At 39.2% G+C, this 20,548-nt stretch overlaps 1 protein-coding gene and 1 long non-coding RNA gene across 4 annotated transcripts in view; one reads left to right on the top strand and one right to left on the bottom strand.

Annotated features, from left to right (window-relative positions):
* The window catches only part of MCHR2-AS1 (MCHR2 antisense RNA 1), an 82,382-nt gene extending 75,076 nt beyond the window's left edge, over positions 1-7,306 (bottom strand). Inside the window, exons 1-2 of the long non-coding RNA NR_038384.1 lie at positions 7,140-7,306; positions 348-550 (exon numbers count right to left, since the gene is read on the bottom strand). This is a non-coding gene — a long non-coding RNA (MCHR2 antisense RNA 1). The remainder of the gene's footprint in view (positions 1-347; positions 551-7,139) is intronic.
* MCHR2 (melanin concentrating hormone receptor 2) overlaps positions 7,121-20,548 on the top strand; it is a 75,705-nt gene continuing 62,277 nt past the window's right edge. The window contains exon 1 of one of the 3 annotated variants that reach the window (NM_032503.3): positions 7,121-7,169. The gene's annotated coding sequence lies outside the window, so the exon portion shown is untranslated. Of the gene's footprint in view, positions 7,581-20,548 lie in introns of all 3 variants that reach the window. The other 2 variants (NM_001040179.2, XM_024446571.2) reach the window with 2 other exon arrangements.

Below are 20,548 nucleotides of genomic sequence, written 5' to 3'. Positions count from 1 at the left end.
AGTGCTTACCATGTTCTAAGTGATGGAGACACAGTAATAAACAAAAGAGGCCAAAGTCCCTGCCCTTGTAGAGCTGACATTCCAGTAGACTGAGGTAGATATGATTACCCCTGCACCACAGATGAAGAAGCTGAAGCTCAGAAATGTAGCAAGTAATTGACCGAATGAGGTATTAGGCACTGGTGTGTTCTACAACAAAATCTGTGGTTGTTATTTTTATGCTAGGAGCAAGGAGGTGTAATCTCTGACCCTTTGTTACACCTGAGAACTGTGCCATAATGATCATTACAGAAGGCTTTCAGACATACACAATATCGTTGGCACCTGAAATCTTTCTTTAAACTTACCTTATGAGAGTCCGTTTTGCTAAGTGTCTCCACATTCTTCTGTGACTTTTTTTAAAATTATACTCTTTAGCTGCTGATGAGGTGGGCACAGCGGCCGTTGGCAGCTGCTGCTTTGGGTTGCTTTGTCAATCTCTGCCCCGGTCTGATGTTTTCTACAGGGAGATGCCTTGGATCCAGGTTCAGGGATTAAATAAACTTGTCAGCTGAAGATGAAAAAAAAAATTATACTCTTTATTACATTATATTGAAATTAACTTGTGTATGTCTGTCTCCCTCATTGAATTGTGGGCTCCCTAGAGCAGAACCATGTCTTATTTATCTTTATAACCAAATCAAGTTCAGGCACTGGCAAGAGTAGGAACCAGTGGTACAGAATTTGCAAACACTAGCATCTTTGAAATGCCCCATTGACTAGCAGTTTCTGCCCACCTCAAACCCATTGCTGTATCCTGATCAGTTCCTGACAAATTCTTGTTGGCTTGAACTTGTTTGAGCTTTAGTCTGTATAGGGGGAATGGAACTGCCAATGGAAAGAGAGATAGACTACGAAATCTCACTTTTCAAGTGGATATCTTTTCTTCTGTGAGTATAATACCTCTAAATAGCCTGAAGGACAGAGCTCTCTGCTACCACTTATGATCACATAGTGCTTTGCATTGGATAAATTATTTTTACATTAATCACATTTGTTGCCTTATGAGGTGGGTAGGGCAAGTTTTACTTCCTCATTTTATCCATAATGAAGTTGAGGCTCAAAAACATTAAATGACTTCCCTCAAAGCACACAACTTACACAAGGGGCCTTTAGACTTGATTCCAATCCATACCTAGACCCATTACATAGATCTGTCTTCCCTACTGTACTGCTACTATGAATTTTATCAATTCCACTATAAACATGTTTTATAATCTGGAATTTGTCAAATACAGTATGCCTTTGTTATTAGATAGTGGAGCTATTTTTACTCAATACACAAGGACACAATGTATCTTTGAAATAAAGAGATGAAATTCACCAAGATTGAGAAACAGTAAACCAGTGAGTTCTCTTCAATTTCCCTTTGGATTTATGGTGGTGCTACACTAAAACTGAGTAAATTAAATCATTCTCTGAATATCTATTCCAGTAAAATGAAGGTCATTTATAAATTATTTATAAATCATTATAATTCAAAAATAATTCAAAAAACAAATGTAAATATTAAATGCAGGCATTTAAACATTTCACTCTCAAAGAATGAATGCATGGGAGGTAAAGGATATGAGGCTAATTTGATGGGGACATGAAATGGTAAAACCTTAGAATTCTGAGCTACTGCCCCCCAAGAAAGATATTAATGTGCACACAGGAAATTTCATGGCACCCACATTTCTGCTCTGTTTTCAGCTGTTATCTCAAAGACAAAGGGAGCAGACTATAACACTCCCATCCCTTTCCCACAGGGTGAGCAGGACTAATAGGTGGCTGCCCCGTTAATCCATTACACTGGCATAAGATATAACTAATAGTCCCACCAGAACAGTAGGCATTAATTGGGATTGTCCCAGATAAACTGAGATATATGGTAACCCTTGTAATAAGAGCATGCATTTCCCAGAGCATTTGGGGAGGTAATTATCCCTATAAACTCTGAAGCCAAAGCGAAACTTGTGCAAATTAATTGAGACTGAAAACCAGCCCTGGTATTTCTACCTTAGCCCAAGAAGCACTGGAGACATAGCAGAGGGTTACGGAACCTGATGCAGCAGGAGAAATACAGAGTGGATTAAGCCAAAGACAGTTCATTTAAATTTGTTTCCTCAAAGTTTCTCATAATTCCTAAGGATGGAGTTGGATATTAACATCCACTTTCTCTATTTATATTATACATAGTTTATTATCTATAACTAGGCTTAGGAAAACTGTTTAGTAGAGTATGTAGTTCTCATTCCAAATATTAAAGGCAGTAGTTCACAGTGAATCGTGGTGATTGTCTCTCTTAGAACCCAAGGTAAAGCACCCTTCATGTTTTTTCAAAGAATAAAAACTAGGCTGTATACCTCAACTCACTAACACATCACAATTCTGCTAGCCAACATGAGCAAACTCATAAAAATGACTTACTTTAAGAATACTCAATTAACATGTCTTACTTCTATCTTAAGAATGCATATCATACTTTCATTTCATTTGCACTGTAACTATTCATGTGTTTATTTTCACCACAAGATTTGAAGGTCCTCATTGGCAGGGATGATATCTTGTTCATCTTTGTACCCCTAGTATCTGGAATAATTCTCCAAGCATTTTATTATTGGAAATAAATGTCTTTTAAAAGTACCACTTATAAAATGAAAGATTTTTAAAATGAAAGAATTTTACTAACGCTTTAGTTAATAGATAGCACCTTACCATAGACCAGCCAGCTAGGGGCAAATATAGTGAGAAGAAAGAAGTCCACTTAGAAGAAGGAAGAAAAGTATAAAAGGTCAACTGATTTTTCACTTTGTTTTAAGACATTCCAGGTCATAATGTTTTATGCTTACTGAGACAGCTTATATGATAAGCTATGACCATTCTTCAAGAAGTTGGAAAGAAATAAATTCTTGTACAAACATCACTGCCAATGGTGTTGAACATGAGCACCTGTGTTTGAAATGAAAGCACAGGCCAAGGCCCCTTAGGGAATATAAACAGATATCAACAATGCATCATAGTTACCAAATTAAATGAAAAAGGAGGTGTTTTCTATATGTTTCCTGAAACCCATGTGTTTTCTTTTGTGCTTGAAAGCAGTCCCAAGCCTTGGCATTGTGACTAAGCTTGAAAAAGAATTCTCCTGAAAGTGCTCCCCATTTCTCAAAAATTAAGAGAAAAAGAGATCAGCCAGTATTTTAGGTTATTCATTCTCATTTTTAACACCAACATAGCTGCTAAGTAATTTTAATAGCAAATATTAGTCATGTTATTTGAAAAAAAGAATTTAATTAAAATTGATCAATATAATTCATTGGTCATTTACTTAAAAAATGAATGTTCTTTATACTGATTATAAAATCATTCTGAAATTTGGCTAGCACCAGAAGTGGAAAATAATTCTTACTCATTTAGAAATTTAGAGCCATACCAGACAAGTCACTGATGTGAAATTCAGCAGCCATGAGAAGGTAAATGGGGATTTACTAGTAAGTAAACTTTATGAATCTGATTGATTGGTAAGGCTTGAAAATCATTGTCAGTTGTTCTAAGAGTTCATCCACGTTTCTTAATAGCAAGTTTAGGACTTAGGCAAACTGCTCTTCTTTGTTTTTTTTTTTTTAATCTAAAGTGTATATTTTATATAATATTATTATAATATAAAGGTAAAAAATGAAATGAGTTTGGGAAGTAATGAAATAATGCAGTCCTTCTCAGAGCCTTTAATATATTAATGTGGGTTATGACTCTGAGAAGAGGGAGTTATATGTGTCCCAAACTCTTTTGACTATTATATTAGTTATCTACAGCCACAATAATTCCAGATGGCAAACCACACCAAAATTCAGTGTCTCAGAACAATCTTCATGTATTCTCACAGAGCTGAAGTTTGACTGGAACACTTCTGCTTCAAGCAGCAGGCCTGGGAATTTGTGTTTTCTATGCTTCTCTCATCCTCCTTGGCCTAGCAGGCTAGCCAGGACATGTTCTTCTTGGACAATGCCAGAGGTACAAAAGAGGCAGTGAAAATGCACTAAGTTTCTTAAGTCCTACTCCTAAAATTGTCATACTGTGTCTGTAATCCATATTCAACTGGACAAAGCAAGTCACATAGCCAAGCCCAAAGTCAGGGAGTGATGAAATATGCTCCATCCATGGTGAGGCCATTGCAAGGAGTGGATCCAAGGAGGGGTTAAAGAGCTAGGACCAACAATTGTCTCACAACAAAACTCTTTGTTTATGGATCATCTCATGGAACTAGTGCTCCACAGAACACACTTTTGGAAACACTGCAATATCTCACTGCTTTTTATGCAATGCTTATGTTAGTGGGCACAAAATGACATCTGACTAACTTTCTGAGAATTTCCTAATTCAGGCTAATTTCCTGAGATGCTGCAGCCTGAGAGACAATTTAAAATATTATAATCTAAATGGAACCCACTACTAGATTCCTAGCAGAAATTCTTCTTGTTAATAGGTCTTTAAAATCCCTTCTGTTGTGAAAACTCAATGAAAATTCAGCTTATAGAGTCAATATGGACACAGCGGGTTCAGTTTAGAGAGAGATCATTTTCCTAGAGAGCCTCAGTCAGGATTCTGCAAAGGATTTTGGAGGGAATCAGATGCTTTGATAGGAGTGGATGATTAAGACTAAGTTCTCAGAGACTGTGCTTCGAGGAAGTGCAGAGCCAAAGACCAAGCTGGGTAGCAGATGATTGCAGAGACAAGTAATATCCCAGCCCAGGCCAGTGAGGAGCTCAAGAACAGCCTGGGTCCTCAGAAGAAAGCCATGCCAAGTCAGCAGAGAGATGTTCCTGAACAATCCCTTAATGAGAAGGAATAGAGATCAGGACCTGCTGCGGACACTCTGCAGTCCATGGTATATACACGTTTGGAACACAATAAGCCTCATTCTCATCAGCATGAGGGGTCAGTCATTGCACCAATCTCTTTTATTTTTATAAAACCAGAATTAATGAGACTCACCAAAAATCCTTGAACCAAATGAAAGTTTTTCTGATAAGCATAGTCAGAAGTCTGTAGCCATAGCAGGACAACACCAGGTCAGCCGGAGCTCTGCCCACAAATCCACCTCCCAGCACATAAATTGCCAGTAACCTGAAGAGCTTTGTCTGACAAACTTCCCAGTTTCCAGCTGAGAAAAAAAAGGCAGGGACTTTACAGGGGTGGGGTTTTAACTGGGCATTCTGGCTCTCCTACTGCTATCTAAAGAATGTTACCTCATCAGAAAGCTCAAGGTCCAGGGTGAGAATTAGGTGGGATTCTATTTCTGGTTCAGCCTCTGTTTCACTGTCTATGGTTTACTTTAACTTTTAACCTCAGTTTCTTTATTAGTAAAATGGGATAACACCCATCTTGTGTACCTTCCAATTATTATAAAAATAATGTAATGATACCTTTTAAAGTATGCATAAAAAGTGGCACCAAAATGTAAGGTAAGGCCACATATCCTCCATTGACACCAATAGAAATTGTCAAACTTAAGCAAGGATGCAATTAAGCCTCATATGCTAATATTTCCCTAAATAGTGACGTCTAGCACAGGCTTTTTAGCCACCAATGCTCCATAAAACACAATACAATATATTGGGCTAGAAAAAAAAAGTATTCTTCACTTTTCAATTTAGCAACAACAACAAAATGAGATTTATTCATCCTTCATTTAGAGTACACAACTAGATAGAATTCGTCAACATCATCATCCTCATCATTATCAATCACTGGAACAAAGAATTGAAGTAGCAAAAATTGGCATTGCCAATATTCCTGTCTTTTTTAAAATGGATTGCCTACAAATGAGAAATTCAAGACAAGCCACTCTGAGTTTTCTTTGAAACGACTTAACATTTGGTCAGGGATAGGAAAGTTGAACAGGAAAATGTACATCAAAATTTTAACTTGGAAAAAAACATAAGGTGTATAAACTTATAGTGGACTGAATTTTTATATTATTAGAGAACTAGAAAAGGCTTTTCCACAAGGGTATTGTAGAGGGCGTTTAGATAATCAGCCTAATAAATGGGTCAAGTGTTTCTTCTTGTTTTTCTTTCCTAAGAGATGCTTTGAAATCTCCCACTTTGAAATCCAAATTCTCTTTAAATTTAATCTCCCATCCTCATATCTCCTTGATTTTTCTGAGAGATTTTAGAGATGATGTCTTTTTGCACAAACACTAACTCTAAGGCGACTTCCAGTTCTGAAATGTATAATCATTGACTCTACACTTGCTTTTAAAAATTCTGATCTGTTGAATTTTGAAATTTTAACCAATTTCACTAACCTTTCAAGTTTTTCTCATTTTCCTAACTTAATGTGAAATACAGGACATTTTGCCATGCCACTCTGACTACTCATCTTATAGATGAAGGAAGGATTCTGAAAGGTGCTCTAATGACTATAATTATCATAGGGACCACATATTGAGCACTAACTACATGGCAGGCCTGATTTGAGGGCTTTTGCATATGTCAAGCCAGTGAAGCCTCTTAGCATCCCTGGGAGGGCAGTTTTACAATTCTGGTAGTACCAAATGAGCAACTGAGGATGAGAAACATTAAAGAACCTGCCCGAGGTCATATGCCTAACAGTAAATGATAAAGCTGAGGTGGAATGCGGGGCGGGCTGCCTGTCTCCAAAATCGTATGAGGCTCCCTTGGGTGGAAAGTGATCCAACTCCAGCTTCGTCCTTGTCACCTTATTTGCTAAGTAGCTACTAAGGCCAGCAGATTTGATCAGGGTGCAAGCATGAAGCTAAAGATCATTATAAAGCAGTTGTACTGGGTGGATTAAAAGTTCGTGAAAACAAAACAAGTTCCTTGGTGGTATTATGGGTTTCTTCTTTCCTCTCTCCTTTCCCCTTTCCCTTCCTTTAAACCTTTGGTACATCAATAAACACTTGTTCATATAAAATGGAGGTCGAGTTTCTATTACTGCTTAGCTGAAAACACCTACAAATGTTCACAGGAACTTTAGTGACTACCAGTCTAGATAAGCACTTGAAAATAAGAAAGAACAAGCTCCGCGAGAGCAGAGATGCCTTCAGATTTTATTCGCGAAGGCACCCCACGCTCCTAGAAAAGAGCACGACGCACCCGATGCTCGGATTGGATGAAGTGGCAAAGGTAACCCCGCTGGTTCGGGCGTTTGGCTGTTCCTGTGCCTGGACCCCCGCTTTGGAAATGGAGGTGGGGCTGGCTCCCAACCTGTCTCAGAGACCCTCGCACTCCTCCCCCACCTTCCGTCAGCTGGGACCCGCTGAGAGCCGTTTTTGGTCACGCGCGCTTAGCGGATAGACCTGCAGTCCCGCAGAGAGGAAGGGCGCCCGGGCTGTCCGCCGCGCGGGGAGGACGCGAGCACCCAGGTGACGTCCCGCGGGCTGCCGCGCGAGGGCCGGGCTCTGGCGTGGGCGCGCCCCAGGGCCCGTGGGCTGCGCGCCCGGGAAGGTCTGGCGCCTGGTCCACCAGTCGCCCCTCCCCGGGGCTGGCTCGCCGGTAGTGTCTGATTGCTGGGGGATCCCCCTCCATCCCCAGAAGGTACAAAGTTTGGCTCTGTGGAGGCACCTACGAGACGGAGCGGGGCGGGTGGGTGGCCGGCTGGTTTCACACTCGGCAAAGAAAATGGAAACACAGGTGGGAAAAGAAAAAGGGAGTGGCTTTCCGGGAAGCAGCGGCCCCGACCGAGACCGCTGGAGCGCGCCGGGCTAGTTCATCCCGGCTCTCCATGGGGACTAAAGAGGCTGAACTGAAGTGGCGAAGGCGAGGAGGCGATCACTGGCTTGTTTGCTAAGAGTTCGGGAAGGCTTTTTTGAACTAGAAAAGACAAATTCAGTTCTTCCTCCAGGTAGATCCCCGTGTCCCCTGTACGCGCCTCCGGACGGCCTTCTGTGAAGCCCCCATTCCCACTTAGTTAACTTAGTTAATATTATTCCTCTGTCACAGGACTCCTGCACGGTCAGGTCATCTGAACTCCTCAGTGGCCCTAGGGAAGTTAGTTAGCGGCTGTCAGAGAACTGGGGAAAGTAGGCAGGTGGTAGCCTAGGCCCTTTGCAACTCAGCTGGGGCTTCTGACAGCCTTTGAAAAATTCTTTCTAAAAATGTGCTTCTTGTATTTTTTAATGAGGCTTTGCCCCAAAGCCTAATATCTTTGTTTGAGGTGGAATCTTCTTATTAAAATGGCCCTGAAGCTACCACTAAAGAATCAGGCATGAACACAAAATCTTCTGGATTTGAGGAATGCGCAGTTCTAATTTCATAGAACTTAGCTCAGCGCAAATGGGGAGGCAATCTGTTTTCAATGAATGTTTTCTGACTTCTTAATAATGCATTTTTCTACTTAAATAATAACCTGTTTGTTAGTATAACTTAGTGGGTAGAGATGGGGGGGTGGGGATGCTGACTGGCTGGAAATGACTGGATTGGGTTGGTAACCCATTATTTGTGTTTCATTTGGATCAGGCATATGTTTAATGTCACAATTGAATTGGCCTTTTGCAGAGCAGACATGCCCTCACTTACTGTCTTATGGCTATGACAAGATAATTACAAGGGCAATGTTATTCGACTCTTAGCCTAACACAGACTATTAGACTGCACAAAGCATTCCAATTACAAGAAAAAAGTTTTTCAAGCCTGGGGAATAAAGTACCACCAATGTACAGGCCACAGAATGTTTCTGAAATATTAATGTAGTTAGTTAAACGGAGATTGAATAGGGAAGGAAAAGCCACCAGGCACTGTAAAGAGGAGCCAGGAACAATCCTACGGGTCCAAGATGCTGTGAGAGAACCAATTTCATTTTTAGTGTCAGCCTGGCTCTCCTCAAAAACTAGAAATAGATTTTGAGGGGAGGTCTGTTGTGTATACTGCTAAGTCCAGTGTCTATTTTGAGAGGCAAGCCTGTAGATTTAACCCAAGTTGTGGGCTAAATGCATAAGAGGCAGCAATTATCCTACCAGACCCCAAATTCCCCAGCCTAGCACTTTAGTCCTAGAGTCAGGTGTGCGGGAGGGAGCCTCCCCCTTCACAGGACCTTTGGATGCCCATTAGAACTATGGCTCAGGACACTGTCTAGTCAGAGGTCCTAAATCCCTGCAAGGGACAGTCACAGCTCCCACTCCACAAGGGATGGAAAATGTCCCTGTGCCCTGAAGATGCCGGGATGCCTCTGCCTTCCGCAGTGACACCCCCTCACCCAACATGACTCCTCTTCCTTCAACCCAGCTGGAAGAAACCCAAGCTATCACTTATTCAGCCTCCAATTTACTCATCTCCAATCCCTTATGCATTTATTTTTAACATTCTGATTCTCAGAAATGAAATGAAATATATACAGGTGGGGAAATTAGAGCAAAGCTGGAAATGAGAAGAAGAACCTTCTTCATGCCTCAGGGCTGAAGAAAAGAAAAACACTTTTGTCAAGAGCCTGCTCTGTTTTAGGCAATGTTCGCATGCCTCATTTCTTTTTTCTTTTCTTTTTTTTTTTTTTTTTTGAGACGGAGTCTCACTCTGTCACCCAGGTTGGAGTGCAGTGTCGCGCGGTCTCTGCTCACTGCAAGCTCCGCCTCCCGGGTTCTCGCCATTCTCCTGCCTCAGCCTGCAGAGTAGCTGGGACTACAGGCGCCCACCACCATGCCCAGCTAATTTTTTGTATTTTTAGTAGAGACTGGGTTTCACCATGTTGCTCAGGATGGTCTCGATCTCCTGACCTCCTGATCCACCTGCCTCGGCCTCCCAAAGTGCTGGGATTAACAGGCGTGAGCCACCGCGCCCCGGCCTCAGATGCTTCATTTCATTAAATCCTCACGATAACTATGTAGAGAGTATTATTCTCACCTCACCTATGGGGAAACTGAGGCTCAGACAGGTTGGTGACTACCTAAAGTCACACTGCTAAAAATGACAGAGCCAAGATTAGGTCCAAATTTATCAAAGTCTTCTAGGAAGGCCTGTATGCTTTGCTGGTGAGGGCTGTCAGGAAAAGCCCAAGCAGCTCTGTCCTCCAGCCCCATCTGTCTCCCAGCTTCCCTGAGGAGGATGCACTGAGGCTAAATCTTCCAGAAGCTGTGCCTGGAGAGCATGTATTCACCGCTAGGGTCTCCTGTGGAGGTCCTGGGCCCCATAGGCGGCTCTGCTCCCCTCTTTTCCCCACTCTTTATCTCCATGCCCGCACCTTCTCACTCCTCTGACCCCAAACTGTTCGATGCTACAATTTCAGAACCATTGGCATATGCCCTTTCTCTCCCTGGGGTTACCACCCTTTCACCACATGCTTGGGTTTCTTCTTTCTGTCCCATCCCAACATTATTGGGAATCTCATAAAGACCCCTCCAAATAAAGCAGGAGATGCATATCTAAGGACATACTAGATGTGGCTCCAAGGTCTGAAGAACCGAGGGCCTGGAGCTTCCAAGCAGCTGATACCCTGATCATCAGGGTGGGAAGGAGGAGAGGTGGATACTGAGGCCTTGGGCAGGGTCCAGGATTGGGTCTCCTCTGTCTTGGTGAAGGGCAGGAAGATAAGAAAAAAAATGTAGAGAGAGACAGAGAGGAGACAGAATTATGTAAATGGCTTTTATCCAGGGAAAAGTTTATGATTATAGAAAAGTTTTTAAAAGTTAGATTGATTGTGTAAAATTAATGCTGATGAAATGACAGTCTTTTGTAAATTTCTTATGACTTACAGCTAATTGCCATGCAGCTCAGTAACAATTGTGTATTTCATTAAATACAGTTCCAAATAACTTTACCGTACATTTTACTTAATTAACATACATTTTTAAATCTTTCTATACTCTCAGGACTAATAAAGTTTCTCTTGAATACTAGCTTCTGGCATGATTATCTGATCATCATTGAAGTAAATGAATACACACACACACATACAGGGTAAATGAATACACACACACACATACAGGGTAAATAGTGTGTTTATCCTATGACTCTAACATTAAGAGAGACAGATAGAAACCACTTGTTTTATGAGAACAAGTTTTATCTTTGGGATTTGTATTAAGCATGTAAAATATTGGCAAAGCTTTTGCTATGCTGAACTCAAGTCTGACACATTTAGTAGCTCATTACTCCAATTTTAATGTAAGGTTGCAAAACACTGAAATCTCATCACCTGGGTCCCACCTTGTTCTAAATATACCTGACATCCCAAACCTTCTAAATAATTGAGCTAATTCATTTACAATGCTCTGCTCACTTTCATTAAGATGGAATTTAGTTTTTTTTTTGTTTTTTAAAGCCAATGAACTTGCAAGTTTACTTGGTTGAAAATGCCTTTTAATCTTAGAAATGTAAAAAGATTATATATTGCTACTTAAAAAAATCTAGGTGAATTTTTTCTCCAACTAAAATTCTTCGGAAATTTAAAAGAAGCTGCTCTCTTTGAGGGAGATTATTTCACGGAGCACATATAAAAACATTTTTTCAAATAAAAATGTTATAAAATTGTGTACTATTAAGGCATTTCATTGCATAAATTCTGCCTAAAATATTTTATATTTTCAAAAAGTGGAAGGTGAGTACAGTTTGTTGTTTACAGAGAGCCTCTGTATCAGAGACTTATGTAATGTTCTTGAAATATGTCTTGATTCTTTCAAGCAGCAGTGATGGCTTATTAAGCAAAGTCTATGTAGCTCTTCAGGAGCAGTTTTGGACCCTAAAGAGAGAGGAAACATTTCAGGGGGACCATTGTTCCCATCGTCTTCTCAGGGTAGAGGTCAAAGGTCAGCACATAGTTTTAGAGCCTGACAAAACTGGGTTCAATTTTTGGCCCTACCACTCACTTACAGAGGAACCTGAGCAATATCCTCACCCTCTTAGCCTCAGTATTCTCTTTGGCAAAATGAAGATAATAGTAATTTTACCTTTGATCTGACTGTGAACTTTAAATGAGGTAATGTACATAAGGTACTTAACACAGTATCTGGCACATTACAAACATTCTATAAATCTTGCTTAAAATTGGTACTTTACCTCTTTATCTTGTTTTTTATGTCTTCCTTCATGAAAATCTAGGCAATAATTTTTTTTGAATTTGATACAGGGTCATGCTCTGTCGCCCAGGCTAGAGTGCACTTACACAGTCTTAGCACATTGTAACCTCAAACTCCTGGGCTCAAATGATCCTTCTGGTAGGTAGTAATTTTAAACCTGTGGTGTATTTCATATGATCTTAGACCCTCTTTCAGCCATTGGAAGTGCTTGTTCTTAACCTGTGTTTAATATTTATTTTTCTCATAGGAGTCATAAGTGTTTTCATAAGTATGACTATGTACATGCATGTGGGTAAATATCGATTTAGCTCATGGAGACATTCAGGCTGGTCTCTTAATTGACTCATAACGGCCTTGAGAAGCTAACATTAGTCATAAATAAATACTACCTGATGGCCATTCTGGAAGAGAAACCCAGTATGCCATTCATTATATGGAAAAAGTTATATGCCTGCTGGTAGCAACTTGTGCCCAATAACAATCAACTATTAGAAGATGCACGTAAAAAAGATGGAGTGATGTGTCTTCTAATCCTCTATAGTATTTAAGAATGTTCAAAAGTGAGAGGCAGAGGGTAAAAGGAAGGTCTTTCTGTTCTATTTCTACCTATGAGAAATGTTGTTGATTGATTATCTCGTTTTTCCTTGCCTTGAGTTTGGGTGGCTCTGAGTTTCAGGCAAGTGTGTGTCCATTTCTAGCCCTGTGGGTGGGGGGATGAATTGAGATTATTTTAGACCAATTACTGTAATTTCACTCCTCCTACCAATGCAATGATTGGTTTGGCAAAGAGCATGTGACACAATTCCAGCCATTGATACTTGTGGGCCAGTGTGCAAAAGAGGCTGCTGGGAAAGGACTGCACTTTCTTTAAAATGTCCACAAAGAAGGGATGGTCCTTTCTGGCTTTTATTGTGCTTACATGAGGATGAGGACTAGCTGCTGTAATCATCTGGTATCCCTGTGGGGACCATCCTTGGAAAAGATTTGTATACTGAGGATAGCTGCAGTGGAAAAGAAGGAAAAGACCTGGACTCTGATGTCACCATTAGGCCACTGAAATAAGCAATCTTGAAAGTACCACCCTGTCTTCCCCTGTGAAAGTCTACCCTATGGACTTCACTGTTATGTTTAAGCTATTTAGGGCTGGGTCTTCTGAAACTGACAGTAGGAGACAGCCCAAATGATTTACACACCAGCCATAGAGAACCAAATCAGAAAACTCTTGCAATGAATCCATCCCTTGGGACATCAAATGAGTTAAATATTCTGCTGAAGTCTATGGCTGCCTTAGTTCCAGAGATGCAAATAATCCCTAATGATTTTTAACTTAGCCTCCTGTTTTAAAGCCTTTTTGAAAAAATGATTAACCCTCTATAGACTTGTTAGTCTCTTGTTTCCTTTTCTTTTCTTTCAATATTGGCCTGCCAATCTTATCAATAAAAAATAACCTTTTGTGCCCCCATGAAAAATTTTAAAACAGTGTTTATTTTGGGGTGCTAATGAAGTGACTTCAGTCACTTTTATATGTTTATCCATTTATTTCAATTTTTATTGTTTTTTAACTCTTAATTTCTTATATTTTGCTTACTTTTTCTGTGTGCTGTTTTGATCTCTTTTGCTTTCAGTGTAGTTAAAGCATATGTCTGTATGTGTGTGTATGCAGACTTTCAGAAGAAGCATAATGTAGTGGAAAAAGCATGGAATGTTGTGTCAAACTTTGGTTTAAATCCTGACTCTGTTATCTAATTTTTGTATAGTTTTTGACAAATTCCTTAACCCAAAGCAAAAAGAATGGCAGCGAGCATGGAATGTATTTAATTGTAGAACTAATCCTAAAGCAAGGGTGGGGATTTGGATGGCATACTATATGCTGTGAAAAAATTTAATTACATACCTATCCAAAACTGGAAGAGGAAGAGGGAAAGAAGGTGGAAGGTAGAGTAAATTCACTTATGGCCTCGTGTAATATATCTGAGTCAAAGGATATATTATTCAACCTGACAAAACAAGTATTTAAAGTATAAGGATTAGCCGGGTGCAGTGGCATGTGCCTGTAATCCCAGCTACTTGGGAGGTTGAGGCAGGAGAATCGCTTGAACCCAGGAGGCAGAGGTTGCAGTGAGCCGAGATCACACCGCTGCACTCCACCCTGGGCAGCAGAGCAAGACTCTGTCTCAAAAAATAAATAAATAAATAAATAAATACAACACAACACAACAAACACAATACAATAGAGTATAAGAACATTAAAATGTACAAAGCTAAAACTAAAAATATAATTTGTTGACCAAAATTGAGCAGTGGAGGGCCAGAAGAAAAAAGCAAGGAAGGGGAAATATGCCAATGTTATCATTTCCTTTTTTATATTTTTATATACTTAAGGGTCCATGTATATATATTATACTTATGGATATATATACATGTATATTATACATGTATATATATTATATACTTAGGGGTCCATGTATATACTTAAGGGTCCATGTATATAATATATCCATGTGTTACATGGATATATTTCATAGTGGTGAAGTCTGGGGCTATTAGTGTACCTATCACCCAAATAGGATATATTGTACCCTATAGGAATTATTCCATCCCTCACCCGCCTCCCACCTTCCCACCTTTTGGAATCTCCGTGTCTATTATTCCTCTCTGTATGTCCACATGTACCCATTGTTTAGCTCCCACTTATAAGTGAGAATATGTGGTTTTTGACTTTCTGTTTCAAGTCATTTCAATTAGAATAATGGCCTCCAGTTCCATCTATGTTGCCATAAAAGACATTATTTCATTATTTTTTATGACTGAGTAGGATTCCATAGTATACATATATACCACATTTTCTTTATCTGCTCATCAGTTGATGGACACTTAGGTTGACTGCATGACTTTGCTAATGTAAACAGCATTAGATAAACATACAAGTGTAGGAGTCTTTTTGATACATGATTTCTTTTTTAGGGGTAGATACCCAGTGATGAGATGACTATATCAAAGCGTAGTTCTTTTTTTACTTCCTTGAGAAATCTTCGTACTGTTTTCTGTAAAGTTGTACTAATTTACATTTCCACTAACAATGTAAAAGTATTCCTTTTCTCTGCATCCTTCCCAATATCTGTTGATTTTTGACTTTTTAATAATATTCATTCTGGCTGGTATAAGTGGTATCTCATTATGGTTTTAATTTGCATTTCTCTGATGATTAGTGATATTGAGCATTTTTCATATGTTTTTTGGCCATTTGTATGTCTTCTTTTGAAAAATGTCTGTTCATGTCCATTGCTTGCTTTTTAATAGGGTTATTTGAGTTTTTTTCCTCTTGATTTGTTTCAGTTCCTTGTAGATTCTGAATATTAGCCCTTTGTCAGATGCAATGTTTGCAAATATCTTCGCCTATTCTGTAGGTTGTCTGTTTACTCTGTTGATTATTTCTTTTGATGTACAAAAGATTTTTAGTTCGATTAAATCCCATTTGCCTATTGTTTTTGTTGTATTTCTTTTTGAGGACTTAGTCATAAATTCTTTGCCTAGGCCAATGTCCAGAATAGTTTTGCCTAGGTTTTCTTCTAGGATTTTTGTAGTTTCAGGTCTTACACTTAAGTCTAATCAATTTTGCATTAACTTTTGTATATGCTGAGAGATGCATGTCCAATTCCATTCTTCTGCATATGACTATTCAATTTTCCCAGTACCATTTATTTAATAGGGTGTACTTCCCCAGTGTATGTTTTTGTCAACTTTGTCAAAGATTATTGGTTGTAGAGGTATGTGGTTTTATTTCTGGGTTATCTGTACTGTTCCATTGATCTGTGTGTCTGTTTTTACGCCAGCATCATGCTGTTTTGGTTAGTATAGCCATAGTATAATTTGAAGTCAGGTAATGTGATACATCTAGATTTATTCTCTTTTGTTTAGGACTGCTTTGGCTATTCAGACTCTTTTTTGGTTTCATATGAATGTTAGCATTGCCTTTTCTAATTCTGTGAAGAATTATACTGGTAATTTGATAGGAATTTCATTGAATCTGTAGATTGTTTTGGGCAGTATGGTCATTTTGATGATACTGGTTCTTCCAATTCATGAGCATAGGATGCTTTTCCATTTGTTTGTGTCATCTCTAATTTCTTTCATCAGTGTTTTGCAGTTCTTTTTGTAGAGATCTTTTAACTCCTTGGTGAAATCTATTCCTAGGTATTTTATTTTATTTTGGTAGCTATTGTAAATGGGATTGAGTTCTTGATTTGGTTCCCAGCTTGATCATTATTTGTATAAAAATGCTACTAATTTTTGTACATTGATTATGTATTCTGAAACTTTACTGAAGTCATTTATCAACTCTAGGAGTCTCTTCAAGGAGTCCTTAGGGTTCTCTAGGCATACGATCATATCATCAACAAACAGAAATAATTCGACTTACTTTTTTCTGATTGAATGACTTGTATTTCTTTCTCTTGCCTGCTTGCCCCAGCTAGGACTTTCAGTTCTATGTTTGAATAGTAGTGGTGAAAGTGGGCATCCTTGTATTGTCCCATTCTAAGGGGTAATGCTTTTAACTTTTCCACATTCACTATGATGTTGGCTATGGGTTTGACATATGTAACCTTCATTATTTTGAGATAAGTTCCTTCTAGGCCTAGTTTTTTGAGGTTTTTTATCATGAAGGGATGCTAGATTTTACGGAATGCTTTTTCTGCATCTATTGATGTGACCATAGGGTTTTTTAAAATTCTGTGTATGTGGTGAGTCACATATGAAAGAACTAAAAGATGTTATCTAAAGAAATAAAGTCTAAAAGTAGTGTGTAAAATTAAACAAATGTAACCTATAAAATAAAAATGTACATTTTCCTAAACATTGTTAAAAAACAAAAAGACGGGGGTGGGGGGGAGGGATAACTTCAGGAGATATACCTAATGCTAAATGACTAGTTAATGGGTGCAGCACACCAGCATGGCACATGTATACATATGTAACTAACCTGCACATTGTGCACATGTACCCTAAAACTTAAAGTATAATAATAAAGAAAAATAAATAAATAAAAATAAAAAAATAAAAAACAAAAAGATACAGTGAAAAATGTAGAGAAATAAATGTTTCTCTTTCATGTATAAGTGTATATATATGTATGTATATATGTGTATGTGCATGTATGTGTGTATAACAGAAGACAAAATATGAAATACTTCTGGACTTCTTTATTATGCAAGATAATGAATACCCTTTACGTTTAAGCCATTTGTATAGAGTTTTTTGAAACTAGCAAAGACATCCCAAATGATTCACCTACCAGCTAAAGAATACCTAATCAGAAGCCCCTTGTAAAGAGTCCAATCCTTCCTTCCAGAGCTAAAAACAAACACATCTGTCATTATGATAGATGTAAAGGAGTTAAATTCTATCTCTAATATAGAAAAATAACTTCAAATTGGCTTATAATGGAATATCCAACCCTATGCTGTAGAAAAAAATCCCTTAAATAAAGCAGTTCAGAAAGGTTGAAAAATAAAAATATAGGCGAAGGTGTATCTGGTAAATGCAAACATAGGCACTCTTTTTTAATAACAAGTGAGCATCATGTCAAGGAAGTCAAGAGAAGAGAGTGTTTCGAGGAAGAAATTTGCAATGATGTTGGTTGTTGCCAGGAAACCAACTAAAATAAGGACAAAGAAGTATTACTTGGATTTAGCCAACAATAAGATTAAATAACCTTGAAAACAATGGTTTTCTTAGAGTGGTGAGTCAAAAGCTTGAGTGTGACGATTTCAAATTCTTTTTTGGGGAACAACTGGGATCAGGCTTGCTTCAGAAAGTTCACAGTAGTGGGCAGGTCCATTTAAAAAATAGTATGTATAGGGCCTAGTAAAAGGAAAGATGAGTGACATGCATATTCTGCTAGCTCAGATGGCTTTTTGAGACCTAATTCTACTTGTGACATCCTCTATAGACAAACATCTAAGTATGAGGACTCAGGAGTGAAAACAATTCTTTTCCATGAGTTGTTACTAACCCCATGGCAGGGGCTGGGCATGGTGGTTCACACCTGTAATCCCAGCACTTTGGGAGGCCAAGGATGGAGGATCACTTGAGCCCAGGAGTTTGAGGCCAACCTGGACAACATGGTAAAACCCTGTCTCTACAAAAATACCAAAAAAAACCAAAAATTAGCTGGGCATGGTGGTGCCCTCCTGAAGTCCCAGCTACTCAGGAATCTGAGGTGAGAGGATTACTTGAGCCTGGGAAGTTGAGGCTGCAGTGAGCCGTGATTGCACCACTGCACTCCAGCCAGAGCAGCAGAGCAAGACCCTGACTCTAATAATAATAAGACAAACAAAACAAAACAAAAAAACAAAAACATCATGGCCGGCACCAGCCACATATACCTTAAGAAAGACCACACTTACCAAGACAGTGCTCTGTCTTGAGTCCAAAAGGGAGAAAGGGAACATCTAGTGTCACTTTCCATTTGTCTCAGCATCTAAATAGTAACTTCTTTTCCTAACATCTAATGTTTGAGTGCTCAATTTGATCAGCCTGCATCAGAGGTTTAGGGAGAAATGGAAAAATCCACTTCTCCATCAAGAGTTCATCCACCCAACTCATATGGCACCCATAATAGCACCCCAATTAAAATTGGGTGTGGTTTTTTTCTGGAGAGTAGGTCTCACTCTGTTGCCCAAGCTAGGGTACAGTGGTGCAATCTCAGCTCACTGCAACCTCCACCTCCCAGGCTCAAGCGATCTTCCTGTCTCAGCCTCCTGAGTAGCTGAGACTACAGATGTGCGCCACCACACCTGGCTTTTTTTTTTTTTTTTTTTTTTTTTCTGTACAGACAAGGTTTCTCCATATTGCCCAGGCTGGTCTTGAACTCCTGACCTCAAGTGATCTGCCCACCTCAGCCTCCCAAAGGGCTGGGATTACAGGCATGAGCCACTGTGCCTGGCCCCAATTAAGATTGTTTTATATATCAATATTAGATTTCCGAACAGCCATCCTGAGTAGGGTTGGGGAAGGTGGGTTGATGTGAGTCGTTAACTGAGGCTTAATTTAGGAGGCAGATTTGAAATGGACCACAAAAGACTGAGAAGGAATTTTGTCGAAGTGGGAGACAAGGCCGCCATAACTGCAGTGAGAAGTAATGAAGGAAGCAATGAAGCTGTGAGGAGGAAAACCCGATGTTCCATCTGAATAGAACAGAGACAGGTAGGGAGCGGGGGGTTTAGGGAGATGTGAAATCAGTATCTAGAGTACGGAATTAGATGCAAGATATGTGGGAAGTTGTCGGGAGGGATAAAGGGTTGGAGAGAAAAACCATCACCTCAGTCAACAAGCATTGTGTTGAGCTTACACCATATGTTTACAGTCGCTAGCAGTTTTGGGGAAGTGCATGTAAACACACAACTAATAATTATGAAGTGTGTATAAAGCCTGACAGTATACAGAAAGGGGAGACTCACAGAGCTGGAATTAATCACCGACTGTTTCTTAGAGGTGAGCCATTTCTGAAAAGAAGAGCTTTCCACATCAACAAGGAGGGAAAGAGACTTTCATGCAGAGAGAACATGAGAGAAAGCACAGATATGAAATTAATAGTAACAGCAATGGTAACCAACACTCATTTCCTAGTTGCCGTGTGCCAGGTGCCTTACATCTCATTTCCTCACAACAGCCTTATGCAATGGGTTATATTATTCCCATTAAACAAATAGGAAACTGAGGTTACAAAAGAGGTTAATGAATTTGACCCCATTCTCAATCCCTGTAGGGTAGAACCTGGATTCAGTCCCAACATCTCCATGTTTAACCACACATACCATTGGCCAGATTCCCACAGAGAAAGGATTTTCCCAGCGGCCAGACTCCAGTGACTGGAAAACAGCTCCAGTCACAAGCCACTGTCCAGTAGTGAAACATGTTTTTTCTTATGGCCACCCTCTTCTTTGTGCTTGAAACGCTTACCCCACAGGGAAGTGTTTAGCAGAAAAGTACCAGTCAATTTTATCTCAATTCTAATAAGACATCTTTGTTTTTTGCCTTCAATCTAGAATGTTACATGATAGACATAGGATTGCTATGTTAATGTTTGGACCACAGCATAGGACAATCTGTACTTTTAAAGTGAAAATAGTAACAACAATAATAATAATAAATAAGCAAAAGGATTGACAGCTAGAAAAACCTCTAGATGCTTATTTTTACTGTGGTAGATTTCTGATTGTCAAAGTAAAATGTCTCCTATTTTATAAGCATTTGACCTATTTGAAAGACATGAAGATTATCTAAGGATTTTTCCTTTGTTAAATTTGCAACCCTGCTTTGACATCCACTCAAATATGTAATAACTTTTTATCATAAAACCTGCAGCAGAAATGAATGCTAATATTTTCATGCAATCCTTCTGGGATTGTGGTGTCTGAATGGATATATCTTTTCTTTGATGTTTTTGGAGCTAGTTTCATGTAATCAGTACCTGTCAGTGGAGCACTGAATATTGGC

This window comes from Homo sapiens, chromosome 6 (assembly GCF_000001405.40).
Source record: "Homo sapiens chromosome 6, GRCh38.p14 Primary Assembly".
Taxonomy (NCBI): Eukaryota; Metazoa; Chordata; class Mammalia; order Primates; family Hominidae; genus Homo; species Homo sapiens.
The sequence above is the reverse complement of the archived record's forward strand: the minus strand, read 5'-3'. Positions and strand labels throughout refer to the sequence as shown.